This window comes from Homo sapiens, chromosome 1 (assembly GCF_000001405.40).
Source record: "Homo sapiens chromosome 1, GRCh38.p14 Primary Assembly".
NCBI classification, from domain to species: Eukaryota; Metazoa; Chordata; class Mammalia; order Primates; family Hominidae; genus Homo; species Homo sapiens.
In genome coordinates this window covers 156,053,801-156,070,895 of record NC_000001.11, presented here as the reverse complement: position 1 = coordinate 156,070,895, position 17,095 = coordinate 156,053,801, and the positions used below count along the sequence as shown (strand labels likewise).

At 52.3% G+C, this 17,095-nt stretch overlaps 2 protein-coding genes across 4 annotated transcripts, besides 3 other annotated features; both read right to left on the bottom strand.

Moving 5' to 3' along the window:
• Positions 1 to 391: 391 nt before the first annotated feature.
• On the bottom strand, positions 392 to 9,736 carry RAB25 (RAB25, member RAS oncogene family). Of its 2 annotated transcripts, NM_020387.4 has the most exons (5): positions 9,453 to 9,736; positions 4,790 to 4,985; positions 2,433 to 2,626; positions 1,145 to 1,225; positions 392 to 736 (listed from the first exon to the last, which is right to left on the bottom strand). In NM_020387.4, exons 1-5 carry the CDS (start codon positions 9,493 to 9,495, stop codon positions 609 to 611), a joined length of 642 nt encoding a protein of 213 aa, NP_065120.2. In that variant the 5' UTR covers positions 9,496 to 9,736; the 3' UTR covers positions 392 to 608. The 2 variants fall into 2 exon arrangements, 1 of the variants encoding a protein (NP_065120.2); NR_133653.2 differs by lacking the exon at positions 4,790 to 4,985.
• On the bottom strand, positions 12,390 to 16,114 carry LAMTOR2 (late endosomal/lysosomal adaptor, MAPK and MTOR activator 2). 2 transcript variants are annotated; one of them, NM_014017.4, is made up of 4 exons: positions 15,939 to 16,114; positions 15,471 to 15,633; positions 12,829 to 12,918; positions 12,390 to 12,581 (listed from the first exon to the last, which is right to left on the bottom strand). In NM_014017.4, exons 1-4 carry the CDS (start codon positions 16,004 to 16,006, stop codon positions 12,525 to 12,527), a joined length of 378 nt encoding a protein of 125 aa, NP_054736.1. In that variant the 5' UTR covers positions 16,007 to 16,114; the 3' UTR covers positions 12,390 to 12,524. The 2 variants fall into 2 exon arrangements, with proteins under 2 accessions (NP_054736.1, NP_001138736.1); NM_001145264.2 differs by lacking the exon at positions 12,829 to 12,918.
• Positions 15,486 to 15,545: an enhancer, noted in NCBI's record as "active region_1836". NCBI's record gives its function as "activates an Ori minimal core promoter by ATAC-STARR-seq in GM12878 lymphoblastoid cells {active_cell/tissue: GM12878}" and the evidence as "EXISTENCE:reporter gene assay evidence [ECO:0000049][PMID:35858748]".
• Positions 16,046 to 16,365: an enhancer, noted in NCBI's record as "active region_1835". NCBI's record gives its function as "activates an Ori minimal core promoter by ATAC-STARR-seq in GM12878 lymphoblastoid cells {active_cell/tissue: GM12878}" and the evidence as "EXISTENCE:reporter gene assay evidence [ECO:0000049][PMID:35858748]".
• Positions 16,706 to 17,095: a silencer, noted in NCBI's record as "silent region_1417". NCBI's record gives its function as "represses an Ori minimal core promoter by ATAC-STARR-seq in GM12878 lymphoblastoid cells {active_cell/tissue: GM12878}" and the evidence as "EXISTENCE:reporter gene assay evidence [ECO:0000049][PMID:35858748]".

Genomic DNA, 17,095 nt, shown 5'->3' with positions numbered 1-17,095 from the left:
TCTTCTCCCCTTGTATCTCCCGCTGCCTCCTCCCCTTGCCCCTGGCATTGGAGTGACCTCAGTTGTTGGCACCAGGGCCCTCAGCACCAGATGGTGCCCGCCGATGGTTTCCTTTGTCTCGCCTTCCAGATATACCCCCTCCCCTCCATGCTCTCCTCCCTCCCCCACCTGCCCTGGGGGTTGGCAGAGGGAAGGGCAGGCACCTCCTATCCCCTTGGCACTGTCCCCAGACCACAGAACTCCAGAGGCAGCTGGCCCTGAGGGGCAGTAGGTATGGTGGGGAGGACAGAGGAAGGGGATTAGGGACTCAGAGGAGGGGCCAAAGTTGAAGGGGAGGCACAGACAAGGAGAAGAGGGAGGAACAGACGGGAGGCAGTGGAATGACCAGGCATTGATATAAAACAGCTTTATTTGAGGGTCCTAGTCTGTGAGGGGTGGACAGATAAAAGAGGTATTTGTGATAGGGCATGAAGACCTTAAGACCCTGAGGGTGCTGTGAACAGGGAACAGTCTGATATCTGGAACCAAAGGGCAAGGAAAGGTCCTGGGGCTGAAGTGGGGACAAGGGGCACCAAAAAGCCAGTGGGGGCAGGTGGTGCTGGCCAAGGTCAGAGGCTGATGCAACAGGCCCTCTTCTCCCCAGGGCCAGGCTCCTGTCCAGCCTGGGCACTGCCCAGAGTGATGGCATTGGTCCGGATGCTGTTCTGTCTCTGCTTGGACACCTTCGCAAAGATTTCTGGGAGGGCAGAGGGCAGTGATCAGGCCAGAAGATTTAGAGCCCATGCTCCCTTCTCCCCAACCCCCCCATACATACTGCATGCCCCTTCTGAGCATGGGGGGTGGCCACACTTGCAGGAGGTTTTGCAGGAAGGAAATGAAGTGTGGACATAGGGGTCCCTTCTACTTACTTGGGTGGAGAAGGAACCAAGAGTCAGCCCCATGGGGAGTGTGGCCTGTTCCCTCCCTGAGCTCCAGACTGAGTGGGAGGCACTGGGGAGGGACTGAGGGGGACAGGCAGTGGTGCCAGGACCCACAGAGGAGCTGAGAAATTAGCTGGGGTGAGGGCTGAGTGTCTGCATTCCTACTGCTGCCTGTAGAAGCCACGGGGATGGAATAGGGGTGCAGAATAAAGGTAGGCTCTAACCTTTCAGGACAGTCTCAAAGGCTAGCTCAACATTGGTAGAGTCCAGGGCTGAGGTCTCCAGGAAGAGCAGTCCATTGTTTTCTGCCAGGAAGGGAAACACACCATTAATTGTGGGAGTCAAAGGCAATAATAATAATAATATTAATGTTTGCTATATACATTTGCCATGTGCTAAACTCTTGGCATGTAGCAGATCATTTAATCCTTAAAACAACTTACAAGGTAGGTTCATTTAGAAAACTGAATCCAGAAACACAAAGAAAACAAATAAGGGGCTGGGTGCGGTGGCTCACGCCTGTAATCCCAGCACTTTGGGAGGCTGAGGTGGGTGGATCACGAGGTCAGGAGTTCAAGACCGGCTTGGCCAACATGGTGAAACCCCGTCTCCACTAAAAATACAAAAATTAGCCAGGCATGGTGGCGGGCACCTGTAATCCCAGCTACTCGGGAGGCTGAGGCAGAGAATTGCTTGAACCCAGGAGGTGGAGGTTGCAGTGAGCCAAGATCGTGCCACTGCACCCCAGCCTGGGTGACGGAGCGAGACTCCTCTCAAAAAAAGAAAAAGAAAAAGAATAAGGAAATTGCTCCATGTCCCACATTTAGTAACTGGCCAAGAGCAGATGGGAGACTGGGCCATGGGACTCCAGAACACCCTTAACCACCATATTGTGCTGCCTCTAAACTCAGAAAACTCCTGGGAAGCCTATCCTCTCCATAGGATCTTTGAGCATTACAGGGTGGGGCTGCCTTAAAATTAACTACGGGCCGGGCACAGTGGCTCACACCTATAATCCCAGAACTTTGGGAGGCCGAGGCAGCTGGATCACCTGAGGTCAGGGGTTCGAGACCAGCCTGGTCAACACGATGAAACCCCATCTCTACTAAAAATACAAAAATTAGCCAGGCATGGTGGCGCACACCTGTAGTCTTAGCTACTCAGGAGGCTGAGGCATGAGAATTGCTTGAACCCAAGAGGTGGAAGTTGCAGCGAGCCGAGATCGCACCACTGCACTCTAGCCTAGGCAACAGATTGAGACCCGGTCTCAAAAAAAAAAAAAAAAAAAAAATCAATAAAGACAATCTCAGGGCAAGTGGTGGGACATCATGGGAGACACAGGGTCCCAAAGGGGAAGTGCTGGGAAATCCTGAGGAAGAGGGGATGGGGTAGAGGACTGTATGGAGGAAGGCCAGGCTAGGGGCTCTATGGGTGGGGGCAGGGGCTGGGAGACTGCAAGGGAAAGGTGGGCTAAGCTTGGAGGAGTCAGCCTGGGTAGTGGCAGGCTCTCACCAGCGAACATTCGGGCCTCCTCAGTGGGCACTTCCCGGGCCTGGCTGAGGTCACTTTTGTTACCCACGAGCATGACGACGATCGTGGCTTCAGCATGGTCATAGAGCTCCTTCAGCCATCGCTCCACCACAGCATAGGTCTGGTGCTTGGTTAGGTCAAACACCAGGAGGGCCCCCACTGCACCACGATAGTACCTGGGTGGGAATGAGAAGGATGGACAGAGATACGATCAGAGGCATTGGACCCAGCATCAGAGCAGAGCCGTCAAGCTGGAACACCCGGGATCAGAGTACTAGAGATCAGGAAATACAGAAACTTGCGGCCAGGGGCCCAGAACCCAACAGAGCAGCCCAAGGCTCCTCTGCCTTCCAGGGACACTAGTCTTGGAGCCTGTAAAGTTTCACCTCCCTCGGCCAGGCGCGGTGGCTCACGCCTGTAATCCCAGCACTTTGGGAGGCCAAGGCGGGTGGATCACCTGAGGTGAGGAGTTCAAGACTAGCCTAACCAATATGGAGAAACCCCATCTCTACTAAAAATACAAAAATTAGCCGGGCATGATGGCGCATGCTTGTAATCCCAGCTACTCGGAAGGCTGAGGCAGGAGAATTGCTTGAACTCGGGAAGCGGAAGTTGCAGTGATCTGAGATCGCTCCATTGCACTCCAGCCTCGGCAACAAGAGTGAAAATTTGTCTCAACTAACTAACTAAATAAATAAAGTTTCACCTCCCTGCTCTAAAATCTCTATTGGCTTCCTCACAGCCAGCCCCTCTACTTTCTCAGGTTCTCGTCCTGATTTTAGCCCCTACTCTCCACCAGTGCACATCTGGGCTTTAGCCAACTCTGCCACCTTCAAGATCTTCCTCACATGGCTCCTTAACAGTGGCCTGTTCTCTCCCGTGGCCTTCTTTCTAGGATTAGCTGAATGCCTACCTCTTGCAGCAGTCCCTGGCCTGACCATTCAAGGCATCACTGAAAGCATCCAGTCTCCCTCTTGGAGTTGGATGGGATGTCTTCAGACTAGTGATGTCTAACTCCCAATTCATTGATGAGTCAACTGAGGCTCATAAGAGATCAGGTAACGAGGAGCATGTGTAACCAAAGCCCCTGACTCTTGCTTCCTGCCCCCTGGCAAGTGCTATCCACCCCATATACACACAAACAGACCCCATTTCACATGCTTAGGCCTCACACTGACTGGAAGACACTTTCTTTTTCTTTTTTTTTTTTTTTTGAGACAGAGTCTTGCTCTGTCGCTAGGCTGGAGTGCAGTGGCATGATCTTGGCTCACTGCAACCTCCACCTCCCAGGTTCGAGTGATTCTCCTGTCTCAGCCTCCCGAGTAGTTGGGATTACAGGCACCCACCACCATGCCTGGCTAATTTTTGTATTTTTAGTAGAGACGGGGGTTTCACTGTTGGCCAGGCTGGTCTCGAACTCCTGACCTTGTGATCTGCCCGCCTCGGCCTCCCAAAGTGCTGGGATTACAGGTGTGAGCTACCGCGCCCAGCTGACACTTTTTTCTTGAGACACAGTATCGCTTTGTCACCCAGGCTGGAGTGCAGTGGGGCGATTTCGGCTCACTGCAACTTCCGCCTCCCGGGTTCAAGCCATCCTCCCACCTTAGCTTCTCAAGTATCTGGGACTACAGGTACGCACCACCAAGCCCGGCCAATTTTTTATATTTTTGGTAGAGACAGGATTTTGCCATGTTGCCCAGGCTGGTCTCGAATTCATGAGCTCAAGCGATCCACCCACCTTGGCCTCCCAAAGTGCTGGGATTACAGGTGTGAGCCAACACACCCGGCCTAAGAGACACTTCGGATGTGGTGTCAGGAGGCCTAACCTCCTGTGTGTCCTCTGAGTCTTCATAAAATGCAGATGCTGGGTTCAGCTTTTGGTCCTCTGTGGTTAGATGAAAGTTGCCAAGTGCAGAGCATTGTGCGGAAGTGAGGGGGCGCTCTCGATCCGTGCAGCTCGCCCCCATCCTAGCTCCACCCTGATTTCACCTTGTTTGTATTTATACAGAAATTAACTAATTATAGCACTTTACTCCTGTGGTACTTTAAGGGTTACATAAAATGCCAAATGTAAAGTAACTTGTCCCTTCCTGGGCACATAGCAAAGGCTTAGTAAGTGGCAATGATTCCTGCTTTTAGTAGTACTAGTCAGTGTTACTATATCCTGGCTTGTGCTGTTTCTGTTTACAGTACCTTTTATCTTCTGTGATCTCCATCCCCACCCCCCAGAGCCCACTGCTGAGCCCCCTTGCCTCCTCCTCCCCCACTTCTCCTCCAGAAGTGTTCCTCGACTTCCCCAGAACTCCCACCACCCAGCAGCCCCCCAGGCCCGGGCTCACGCCGAGGTGATGGCTCGGTACCGCTCCAGGCCAGCTGTGTCCCAGATCTGAGCCTTGACAGCAGCGGTGCCCAACATCACAGTGCGGGTGGAGAACTCAACCCCGATGGTGGTGCGGCTGTCGTGGCTGAACTCATTGCGCGTGAATCGGGAGAGTAGATTGGTCTTCCCCACACCTGATTCGCCGATCAGCACCACTGAAGGAGTGGAGAGATAAGGGCTGAGCATGGGGTAGAGCAGCTCCAACCCCACCTGAGCTTGGAGGGTCTGCCCAGCAGAAAAAGGGAACTGAGCTCAGAAAAAAGATTAGGGAACGGAGTCTCCTGTGAGACTGGAGTCTGCAACTCTGCATAATGCATCTGTCCTGGTGGGCAGGAAAGCCAAGAGTTTAAAACAAACAAAGGGGCTTGACGGGTTATAGCCTGGTCTGTTGATACATGGTTGCAGAGTCAGCCTGCATCTCTGGTGAGGGAGTGACATCTGTGGGCTCTTTATGAGTGTCATGCGGAGACATTACTGTTGTGTGTGAATATGGACAGGGATGGTGGGAGGTCAGGGGGTGCACAGTTCTGGACTAGGACTTGGAGTATGAGAACATTGCACTTGTCTCTATATATATGAGCTGGGAGGACAAGTGGGAGGTTTGGTGTGTGTGTGTTTGCATAAGGAACAGAGGTGTGAATCAAAGTGTGGGTAAGGAGAAAGTTTGGCAGTTGACACATCTGTGGGTGAGAGGAAGGCATGTGTGCTCATGTGTGTGTAAGAAGTTAGGTTCCAGTTGTCCCTAAGGAGGGACAGTCCCGCATGGTTAAGAGCATGGGCCTGGGTGTTAGACCAGCTATGTGTCCTTCGGCAAGTTATTTAACCAATCTGAGCTGTTCTTTTCATATGAAAAATGGGGAAGACATTAGTATCTACCTTAAGGGTTATTGTAGGAAGTAAGTGAGACATTGCCCAGGATATAGTAAGTGTAAAAATCATGACTGGTATGATTGTTGTTAGCAGGCCAGAGTTTTTGCCTTTGGGTTTTCAGAGACAAGGATCCACCTGAGGGGCCATGAAGACCCTTTAGACTGGTGGGCAGCATCCAGGGCCCAGTCTTACCCATGTGGATGAGCTGGGGGCTGGGGTAGAGTGTAGGGGGCTGATGTGAGTAGAGCCCACAAATTGCACTGGCACTGAACTAAGCACACAGAATTAGAGGAGGCCACCCAGAGTGGTTCTGGAAAGGCAGGCTGGCACCCAAGGACTGGGAGCCACATATTGTGGGCTCTGGTCCCTGCTCAGCTTCTAACTAACTGTGTGAACTTGAACAAGTGACTCACCTTTTCTCAGTCTCAGTTGCCTTGCTTATACAACTTATAAAGGCCTCCTCCAACTTTAAAAGTTCCTTGGCTGGGTGTGGAGGTTCACGCCTGTAATCCCAGAACTTTGGGAGGCCAAGGCGGGAGTATCTCTTGAGCCCACAAGTTTGAGACCACCCTGGGTAACACGGTGAAACCCCATCTCTACAAAAAATGCAAAAATTAGCCAGGCATGGTAGCATGTGTCTGTAGTCTCAGCTACTTGGGAGGCTGAGGTGGGAGGATTGCTTGAGCCCTGGGGGTGCTGCAGTGAGCCGAGTTTGTGTTACTGCACTCCAGCCTGGGTGACAGAGTGAAACTCCGACTCAAAAAAAAAAAAAGAAAAAGAAAAAAAAATTAGCCAAGTGTGGTGGCACATGCATGTAGTCCCAGCTACTCAAGAGGCTGAGGTGGAAGGATTGTTTGAGCCCCGTAGGTTGTGGCTGCAATGAACTGTGATGGCATCACTGCACTCCAGCCTGGGTGACAGTGAAATTGTGTCTCAAAAAATAAAAATAAAAAATATATATTTAAACATTCCTTATTTGCATAGGACAGTATGGAAAAGCTGGAAATAATATGGATATGTGTGGGTAAGAGGATGTGTGTGTATGCGTGTGTGTGTGTGTATATGTGTGTGTGTGTTCCTGCCTCTCCCCTACTGGGCACATCTCCCTCATCCCTCTCAGTGGGTGGGCTCTCAGCCCTAGCGTCATACCACAAAGGTGCTTAGGGCAAGGGAATTGAAGTCAGACTTTGTGGCCTTTTGTAAACTACTTTGCCTCTAAGCCTCAGTTGTAAAGTGGAGATACTAATGGTTCATGTTTACAGTGTACTGAATGCTTACTATGTGCCAGGCAGTGTCGTTAAAAGCTTTACACATATTACCTCATTTAATCCTCATAAGAATGCCATGAATCCCATTACTATTTTACCTGTTTTTACAGACAAGGCGCTTTGGAGGTCAAATGACTTGCCCAAGATAACAGGGCTAGTGTTGTAAACACAGAGATGTGCTGGCCAGATCAGCCTTCAAGGAAGGACTTGCCCCAAGCTGCAGGGAGTGCAGGCTGCAGACAGGCTCCAGCTGTCAGCTCCTTCAGCGTCTGCCTCTGGTGCAGACAGCGGCCTCACTGGAAGTCATGCCTTTTCTGGGCAGCCTACACCCAGTGCTCAAGCAAGGTGAGGCAATCACAGAGCTCCCCGCCCTTGACCCAGGTTTGTCCAGCCTGTGTTGCTGTTTGACTTCTCCCTCTGCCCAATTATGTTTCCTCTCCCTTCCTTTCACAGGTGCTGATTTGTAAAAAAACATTGAGCTGGGCGCGGTGGCTCACGCCTGTAATACCAGCACTTTGGGAGGCCTAGGAGGGCGGATCACAAGGTCAAGAGATCGAGACCATCCTAGCCAACATGATGAAACCCTGTCTCTACTAAAAATACAAAAATTAGCTGGGTGTGGTGGTGCACACCTGTAGTCCCAGCTACTCAGGAGGCTGAGGCAGGAGAATCGCTTGAACCCAGGAGGCGGAGGTTGTAGGAAGGCGGAGATTGCAGTGAGCCAAGATCGCTCCACTGCACTCCAGCCTGGGCAACAGAGCGAGACTCCGTCTCAAAAAACAAACAAACATTGAACACCCCAACTTCTTCTCAGCGTCTGCTTCTAGGGACCCCAACCCAACCCTCAATACTTTTTTTTTTTTTTTTTTTTTTTTAGACAGAGTCTTGCTCTGTTGCCCAGGCTGGAGTGCAGTGGCACAGTCTCGGCTTACTGCAACCTCTGCTTCCTGGGTTCAAGTGATTCTCCTGTCTCAGCCTCCCGAGTAGCTGGGATTACAGGCACGTGCCACCACACCCAGATAATTTTTGAATTTTTAGTAGAGACAGGGTTTCCCCATGTTGGCCAGGCTGGTCTGGAACTCCAGACCTTAAGTGATCCCGCCGCCTCGGCCTCCCAAAGTGCTAGGATTACAGGCGTGAGCCACTGCACCCGGCTGACCAACCCGCAATACTTGTAAGTGGCAGGGCTGAGATCTGAACCCAGTCTGGCTCCTGACCACAATGTTACACTGCCCCTCAAAATAAAATATGACTTTCGGGGATTGTTATGGTATTAATGAGGTAGTGGCAGGTACATAGTAAGTGCTCAATAAATGGTAGTTCCTCATATTATTGCCCCAGACTATTGCTAACCCTTTCCTTCCTGGAAAAGATGCCAGTAGTACAGGTTCCCCAGCTCAAGGGCGGGTTCTGGAGTGAGAGTCCCAGCTCAAGGGAGGGGCCGGGCTGAGGTTGGGAGAGGCATTGGGGTAGGGTGGCTGGAGAGTCCACCCTGCCCTAAAGGAAGTATGAAGGTGGGGTTGGAAAACAGCAAAGGCACCAAACACAGGGGCTAGAAAGATACATGCATGCTTCCAGGGACAGCAAAGTTGAGCCCAGTGCCTGGTATGCAGGTCCAGTGAGTCAGCCAAGGGCCAGGCAGACGAGGCTACAACCCTAGGAGTCCTCTGGATTCTATCAGACTCTGCAGCAAATTCATGATATTTTCTGTCTTCCCTATGTATTTATTGCCCCACCCTATAATGGGATGTGTCTCTCCTTTCTCTCGTTCCCTGTACACCTGCCCAGAAAAGATGACTTTCTTCCTCTTGTTTGCTGGTTTCCCTTTCTTCTCAAGAGAGAAGTCCTGGCCGGGTGTGGTGGCTCATGCCTGTAATCCCAGCACTTTGGGAGGCCGAGGTAGGCGGATCATGAGGTCAGTTCCAGACCATCCTGGCCAATATGGTGAAACCCCGTCTCTATTAAAAATACAAAAATAAGCCGGGCGTGGTGGCAGGTGCTTGTAGTCCCAGCTACTTGGGAGGCCGAGGCAGAAGAATCGCTTGAACCCAGGAGGTGGAGGTTGCAGTGAGCTGAGATTGTACCACTGCACTCCAGCCTGGGCGACAGAGCAAGACTCCGTCTCAGAAAAAAAAATAAAAGAGGGAAGTCCTTTCTGAAGTCTGACCTCCATCTCTTGTGCTGCACTGGCTGACACCAGGGATTTGGGTTTCTATTAGGAACGGGGCAGAGGAGCCTAACTCAGCACTCTTAAGGAGGAATCAACATCATTATTTACCACAGTAGAGCATACTCAGAAGCTCCCTGACTTTTGCCCCTGCAACCAGACCCTCCCCCACTCCCTGCAGCTTTCTTTCTGAAGGAATGAGGAGCCCCAGGAGGTCTTGGTAAGAGATAAAAAAACAGGAGGGGGCCCTCTCTGGCTCTATTCAATCTCTTTCTGGGTCTCTCAGGCTTCCTCTTGCTTCAGGGAACCCAACTCACCCTTGAAGACAAAGTTATAATCTTCCTCAGTTCCATTCCCCATCTTGGCTCCGCATGGAGGGTGCAGGTGTCTTCGGGGACAGAGGCGACAAATCTGTGTGTTGGCTCAATGCCCTCAACCCTCAGCTCTCAAAAGATCTGGTCCTGCCCCTCCTCTCATTGGGGGTAAGGGGACTTCTGCAGCCAGAGGGATTGGGGGCCAACTCAAGGTTAGGCAGGGCCTAGGGAGGATCAGCTCTGGCAGGTGGGGGTGCTGTAAGGAAGCAGAGAGGACGGAAGCTGAGAACAGGAAGAGCGGGGTGGCTGGAGACCTGGGGCCCAGGTGGGTGGAGAGATGATGACGTCAGACAGGTTCGACAGGTTGGGTGTCTGCTCTCAGCCTGGGCTCCCGCAAGCGGGAGAAGCAGCTCCAGCGGGGGGGAAGCGAAAAAGGGACAGGACCTTCAGAGACAGCCCACTGAGGGCTGAGTGTGCATTGCTGGGCTTCTGGAATCTGTGGTGAGGGCCGGTCCCCCAACTAATGAGCAAGAAATAGCCCCTCAGAAACCCACTTGAGGCCAGGCGCGGTGGCTCACGCCTGTAATCCCAGCACTTTGGGAGGCTGAGGTGGGCGGATCACCTGAGGTCGGGAGTTTGAGACCAGCCTGACCAACATGGAGAAACCCCGTTTCTACTAAAAAAATACAAAATTAGCTGGGCGTGGTGGCACATGGCTGTAAACCCAGCTACTTGGGAGGCTGAGACAGGAGAATCGCTTGAACCCAGGAGGCGGAGGTTGTGGTGAGTCGAGATCGCGCCCTTGCACTCCAGCCTGGGTAACAAGAGCGAAACTCCGTCTAAAAAAAAAAAAAAAAAAAATTAGCTGGGCATGGTGGTGGGCGCCTGCAATCCCAGCTACTTGGGCGGCCAAGGTAGGAGAATTGCTTGAAGCCGGGAGGCAGAGGTTCCAGTGGGCTGAGATCGTGCCACTGCACTCCAGTCTGGGCAACAGAGACTGCTTCTCAAAAAAAAAAAAAAAAGGCCGGGTGCGGTGGCTCATACCTGTAATTCCAGCACTTTGGGAGGCCGAGGCGGGCGGATCACAAGGTCAGGAGATCGAGACCATCCTGAAGGAATGAGGAGCCCCAGGAGGTCTTGGTAAGAGATAAAAAAACAGGAGGGGGCCCTCTCTGGCTCTATGGTAGAAACGGTGAAACTGTGTCTCTACTAAAAATACAAAAAATTAGCCAGGCGTAGTGGCAGGTGCCTGTAGTCCCAGCTACTCGGGAGACTGAGGCAGGAGAATGGCGTGAACCCAGGAGGCAGAGCTTGCAGTGAGCCGAGATCGCGCCACTGCACTCCAGCCTGGGCGACAGAGCAAGACTCCGTCTCAAAAAAAAAAAGAGGCCTGGTGCGGTGGCTCCCACCTGTAATCCCAGCACTTTAGGAGGCCGAGGCCAGCGGATCACGAGGTCAGGAGTTCAAGACCAGCCTTACCAACATGGTGAAACCCTGTCTCTACTAAAAATATACAAAAATTAGCTAGGCATGGTGTCACGCGCCTGTAATCCCAGCTACTCAGGAGGCTGAGGCAGGAGAATTGCTTGAACTCGGGAGGCGGAGATTGCAGTGAGCCAAGATTGTGCCATTGCACTCCAGCCCGGGTGACAGAGCAAGAGATTCTATCTCAAAAAAAAAAAAAAAGGAAGAAACCCACTTGGCCTGCTTTTCCTTCAGAGCTGGTAGGGGGGTACACTGGGGGAACCAGAGTAAGGGATATTAGACCAGGGGCTGATAGAACACCAGTCACCCTGCTGCAATGCAGAGCTGTGGGAGTATCATGGCCACAGTAACTTCTGCCCTTCCTTGACAGCCCAGGGCCTGGGATGGGCAGTGTTTCTCATCTTGGGTGGAGCTGGGACTCGAAACCTACCCACTTCTCTGGGATGGGTTCCTTTATATGGCACTGGGGAAGGGGGCTGGTAGCTCCCTATACAGACCTGCTTTAAGGATATTGGGTAGGCAGAGACCTGGGGCAGAAACAGACAGCTGGGGTGAGTGGTCTGAGTGTAGGAGCAGGGTCTGGAGATGAAGGCCTTTGGGAGGTCTGGGTTACTTCTACTCCCTGTACAGGACCTGAGGCCTCACAGCAAAGGCCTCTTGTCTACAAAGGGCTTCAAGATCTGGGGAGGGTCTGTGTAAGCACATAAACACCTGGAAGAAGAAGAAAGGGATAGCTTGTTCTAGGCTGTTAGGGGCACCCTCCCAACCCCAAGAATAGAAAAGGCACTCACTGGCCAGTCGAAGTGGTTCATATCTGTAATCCCAGCACTTTGGGAGGCAGGAGGATGGCTTGAGCCCAGAAGTTGGAGAACAGCCTGAGCAACATATTGAGACCTCATCTCTACCAAAAACAACAAAAACAACAAAAAAAACCCCTAAAAAACACAAAAAACAAAAACCCAAAAATTAGCCAGGCATGATGGTGTGTGCCTATAATCCAGGCAACTCGGGAGGCTGAGGTGGAATCACTTGAGCCTGCAGTGAGCTGAGATTGTGTCACTGCATTACAGCCTGGGCAACAGAGGGAGACCCTCTCAAAAAAATAAAAGGCACGCACGCCCCCAAACCTGAAATGATAGACACTAACCTCTCAGGGCCTTTATATTCTCTGTGCAACACAACCCCCACCAGACCCTTGCACCTCTGAGCTCACTCCCAGTTTTGCCTATGAGGTGGGTAAGACTCTGTTCTGAGCAGCAGGGTCTAGGTGAGGTCATGCCATTGGTGAGGACAAGGACTATTTGGCGTAACTGCCAAGAACCATTGTTCGCAGAAGGTCATGGTGAAGGGGTGGGTAGAAGTCCATCCTTGCAGAACATGAGGAATCCTAGAAGCGATGCCTGCTTCTTCCTATCTTCTCTGATTCCTCCCATCCAAGAAAGTAGCCAAGACACATGACAGGAGTTGAAGTTTATTCTTGGAAAAAACAAAGTCCCATCCTCCCCCCATTGTCTAAGAAGGTTCTTCTAGGAGGCCCCGCCCCTCCAAATGGTCATTTCTCTTTTCTGACCCCAGCTTCCACCAATGCCGTTAAGATGCCGCCACTTGGGTGAGGGGCTCCTCCAGGTACTGCACCAAAGCCTGGGCCTGCAGAGGGAGAACAGAGATCAGTCCCGCACACAGCCTGGCATTAGGGACCCCAAATCCAGGTCTGCTCCCAGTGCCATAGGAAGCAACCAGCCCCCAACCCCCACCTGCTCTTGGGAGCTGGCCCACACCAGAAATGGACTGAGTAGACATGAGAACTCTAGAAACAGGGTCCTGGTGGGAGTGAACACAGTGTAGAAGCACGAAGGCTGGGCCCAGGGCTATGGAGGGATGGGCACATACACACCTTGGCCTTGAGCATTCCAAAGCCCACGGTCTCCTTGGCATACATACACAGCAGAAGGTTGGCCACTCGGGTGATGGCTACACGGCCCTCCTGGTGGGGGTGATATGATGGGATGTGATGTTCTGCTTGGCACCCTTAGCACCCTCCTTCCCCAAAGGCTTCTCTGGCCCCAGAGAGACTATATCTTCCTCCCATGCCCTGGGCACAGCAGGAAGTTCAGCGGAAAAGCTTTTGGCCACAGCCCTGAACATGGGGTTCTGAGCCCAGGTTCCAGCCTCAGCACAGCCACCTACTAACCATGTTACTCTGGGAAACTTAGTCTCTCAGAAATTCAGTTTTTCTTTCTGTAATCCCTACCTCATCCCAGTTGGTGAGGGTGCTAATACCATGAAATTTCATATCTGCCAACAGTTGTCCAAATGAGTGATGTTATTACTGTGAGCTCACCCCACAGACACTGAGAGGGGCATGGGAGTGGTAACCCAACTGGTATTTCTCCTCTTTTCCCATGGTAATGTTTTTCAAATTGCAGATTTGACCCCACAGTTAGGAGATAAATTAAGAAGGTTGATCAGCATTAAAAACCAAAAAAGAAAAAATGAAGTATATTACATGTAGTAGGAAAAGTATTGTTTCATGACTTTTGTTTTAGTGGGTCTATGTGTGTGTTGAGCTCTGACTTAAAATGTCTTTCTTAAAAAATTTTTTCCTATTTATTTATTTATTAAAATTTTTTTTGTAGAGATGGGGTCTTATTAGGTCACCAAGGCTGGTCTTGAACTCCTGGCCTCAGATAATCCTCCAGCCTCAGCCTCCCAAAGTGTTGGGATTACAGGAGTGAGGCACTGTGCTCAGCCTTAAAATGTATTTCTTTTTTTTTTTTTTTTTTTGAGATGGAGTCTTGCTCTGTTGCCCAGGCTGGAGTGCAGTGGCGTGATCTCGGCTCACTGCAACCACTGCCTCCTGGGTTCAAGTGATTCTCCTGCCTCAGCCTCCTGAGTGGCTGGGATTACAGGCACGCACCACCATGCCCAGCTAATTTTTGTATTTTTAGTAGAGATGGGGTTTCACCATGTTGGCCAGGCTGGTCTTGAACACCTGACTTTGTGATCCGCCCGCCTCGGCCTCCCAAAGTGCTGGGATTACAGGCATGAGCCACCATGCCCAGCCCCTTAAAATGTATTTCTTATGGCTGGGTTGTGGTCAAAACGTTTGAAAGCTATTGCCCTATAGCACCAGCTCTAGGCATCCAGTAGGAGTCATATGTTGAACTAAAAATGGCATTGGTTGTGCAGGGGGTAGGGGAGAGTAGGCAGTTGAGTTACAATGAAGATCCTTCCTGGAGAGTTCACCTTCTGGCCAATTTGAAAAAAACAAAAGTAAGTTCAGCAAACTTTTACTAGGTATTTATTGTATGCCAGGAACCAAGCACTGCACTCCCTGCCTCTCTGACCTCATCTCCTACTACCCTCCTCCATCTCACGTAACTCCAGCCATACCAACCAACCCTGTTGATCCTTGAGCAGGCATAATTCTGCCTCAGGGCCTTGGTACTTGCTGTTCTGTCCAAAATATTCTTCCCTCAGATAACCACATGGCTTGTCCCCCACCTTTCTTCAGATCATTGATCAAATGTCACCTTTTCAGTGAGACTGTCCCTGACACATACACCCAACAAACTCATACTCTTTCACTTCCCTGCTTTCTCTCCATTGCATTTTCAATACCTAATATATACTATATATTTTACTTATTTTAAAAAATGTGGCCAGGCACAGTGACTCACGCCTGTAATCCCAGCACTTTGGGAGGCCAACGTGGGTAGATCGCTTGAGCCAGGAGTTTGAGACCAGCCTGGGCAACATGGCAAAACCCAGTCTCTGGAAAAATGCAAAAATTAGCGAGGTGTGGTGGTGCATGTCTGTAGTCCCGGCTACTCAGGAGGCTGGGGCAGGAGGATCACCTGAGCCCAGGGAGGTCGAGGCTGCAGTGAGCCGTGATTGTATCACTGTGTAAGATTTATTAGGGCTGGGGGTTTTGTCTTTCTGTTTGCTATTTTTTCCCTAGTCCTGAGAATACTGCAAGGACCTAAATACTTGTCGACCGAACAGATACTAAGAAGTTCACAATCTAATGGTGACTTCCCCTTTCTGGACTTCATTTTCCTTTCTTTGAAAGCTTAAGGGGTTGGACTAGGGTCTGGAGACTGCCATGGTTCTGTGAGTCGGTGAAACTGGGATGACAACACTTTGTGTTTGCACGTCATTCTACTGTTTATACCCATTATTTCATCTGACCTTCACAACAACCCATGAGGGGAGCGGGGAGAGGGAAATTATTGTCTTCTCCTTAAACATGAGGTAAGGAAGCTGAGAGAGGTTAAGCGACTTACCCAAGGTTCCACAACTGATAAGTGGATGGCTGAGACCAGAACCCAAGTCAGACCTCTCAGGTCCAGGGATCCTTCCTCACCACCACTTGATGAATAGGGTCCTGCCTATTACAAATGCTGCTGCAGACCAACTCTTAGTAATCTTCCGGAGATCCTGTCCCTGCCCCTCCAACCATCCAGGATGGGGTCCAGGTCGCCCCCTTGGGATCCCCTTTGGGGGACAGGGGAAGTCTGGCTCCCCTCTCCATACCATGCAGTCCATGAGGATGAATTTGAGATTGTCTTCATTAAACGCTTGGTTCCCGTTCCGGTCGTAGGCGGCCCAGATGTTACTGGCTATGGCAGCGGTGACCCGGGCGTCAGTGTCCCCGTAACCAGAGTAGGCCAGCAGTGATCCCTCGTTATTCAGCAGCCTGGTGAGGGGCGGGGAGGGATAGCGATGTGCTCAGAGCGGGGAGTAAAACGTCTGGGTTTCCATCCCAAGTCCCACCAAGGGCACATCCAGCAAGGCTCTGGCCTGAGCGTGTCCCGGAACATGCCCTAAGCACCCAGCACACCGGCTTCCCTTTTCGACAGGGGACCTCCCGGCCGGTATCCCCAGCCGCTGCCCCCTCTGCCGCTTCCTCCCTTCCTGGTGATCCTTCCCCACCCCTCCCTCAGGGAGCCGCGCGCCGCCCCACTGCAGCGCTCGCCGCTCGGGTCCGTGGTCTGCACTCACAGGGTGCTCTGGACGCCTCCAGTGTTGGCTTGGCTTAGCACCTGGGTCAAAGCCTTGGGGCGCAGCATGCCTACGGTTCCTAACCCTGGGCTTTTGCACCCAGATCTCCGAGGTGCCTCCCGCGGGCCGCTGCCCGCTGCTTCCCGTAGTCCCGTTGGCCTGCTCCGGGACGCCCTGGGAGTTGTAGTTTCTTCGCCTGGCTATTGTGGTTCCGACTCAACCCCGCCCCACCGCGGGGGGCTCTGGGAATCGTAGTTCTTTGTGGCCTCGCGAGGCACCCTGGGAATTATAGTTCGCCTTTCCAAGCCGACCACGCGGTTGTTGGGGGGCGGAAAAGAACGGGAGTGAAAGGACAGCAGCAGCGCTGGAAGGACATTTAACCCCTTCGGGGAGAAAGGAATCAACGTGTCCGCTTGGCAGTCCACGATTCAATAATTATACTACATCCTCATATTTGTCAGGCACGCCTTTGGTTACTTTCAAAACAGTTTTCTCCGTTATGCACAATTCTGTGCGATGAGGCGAGAGGTACTATTATTATTATCTTGAGGAAACCAAGGCTCTGAAAGGCCACGCAGCCAAAACCCAGCTCCCTGGAACCGTTCTTAATAGACCATTCAGGCCGCGACCCTCGGGGCTATAGGGTCAGTCCCAGAGCTGAGAACCTAGGTGGACGTGCTTGGTGGGAAAACCCAACCTCCAAGTCGGGAAAGTCCCCTGGCCTGGAAGGGACTTGGGCTTCCAAGAAAGACCAAGTTATCACAGGGAACGGAGATAAAGCGGCGACACAGAAAGTCCTTTGTCCCGGAGCCGAGTTAGCCGCGGAGGGGGCGGGGAGGCTTTGGGCTGGAGGGGACCGCGGCACGGCTCGGGCGGGCAGCGTTGGGTCGCGGTCTCCCGGGGCAGTCCGCCCTCGCCCCCGCAATGAAGGGCACGCCCCTTCCCCCTCCCAGAGGCCCCCCAGGGGCCCCCGCCTGGCGAGACCCTGGCCGGGCTCCGGACCTGGGGCTTGGCCCTGGGCGGACCCCGCTGCAGTGGCCCCCCCGGTCCGCCCGGGGCGCTGTGGCTGCGGCTGGTCCGGAGGGGGCGGTGAAGCCTCGGGGAGGGGAGGGGAGGAGAGAGGAGGGGAGGGGAGGGGAGGGGAGAGGTGGAGAGAG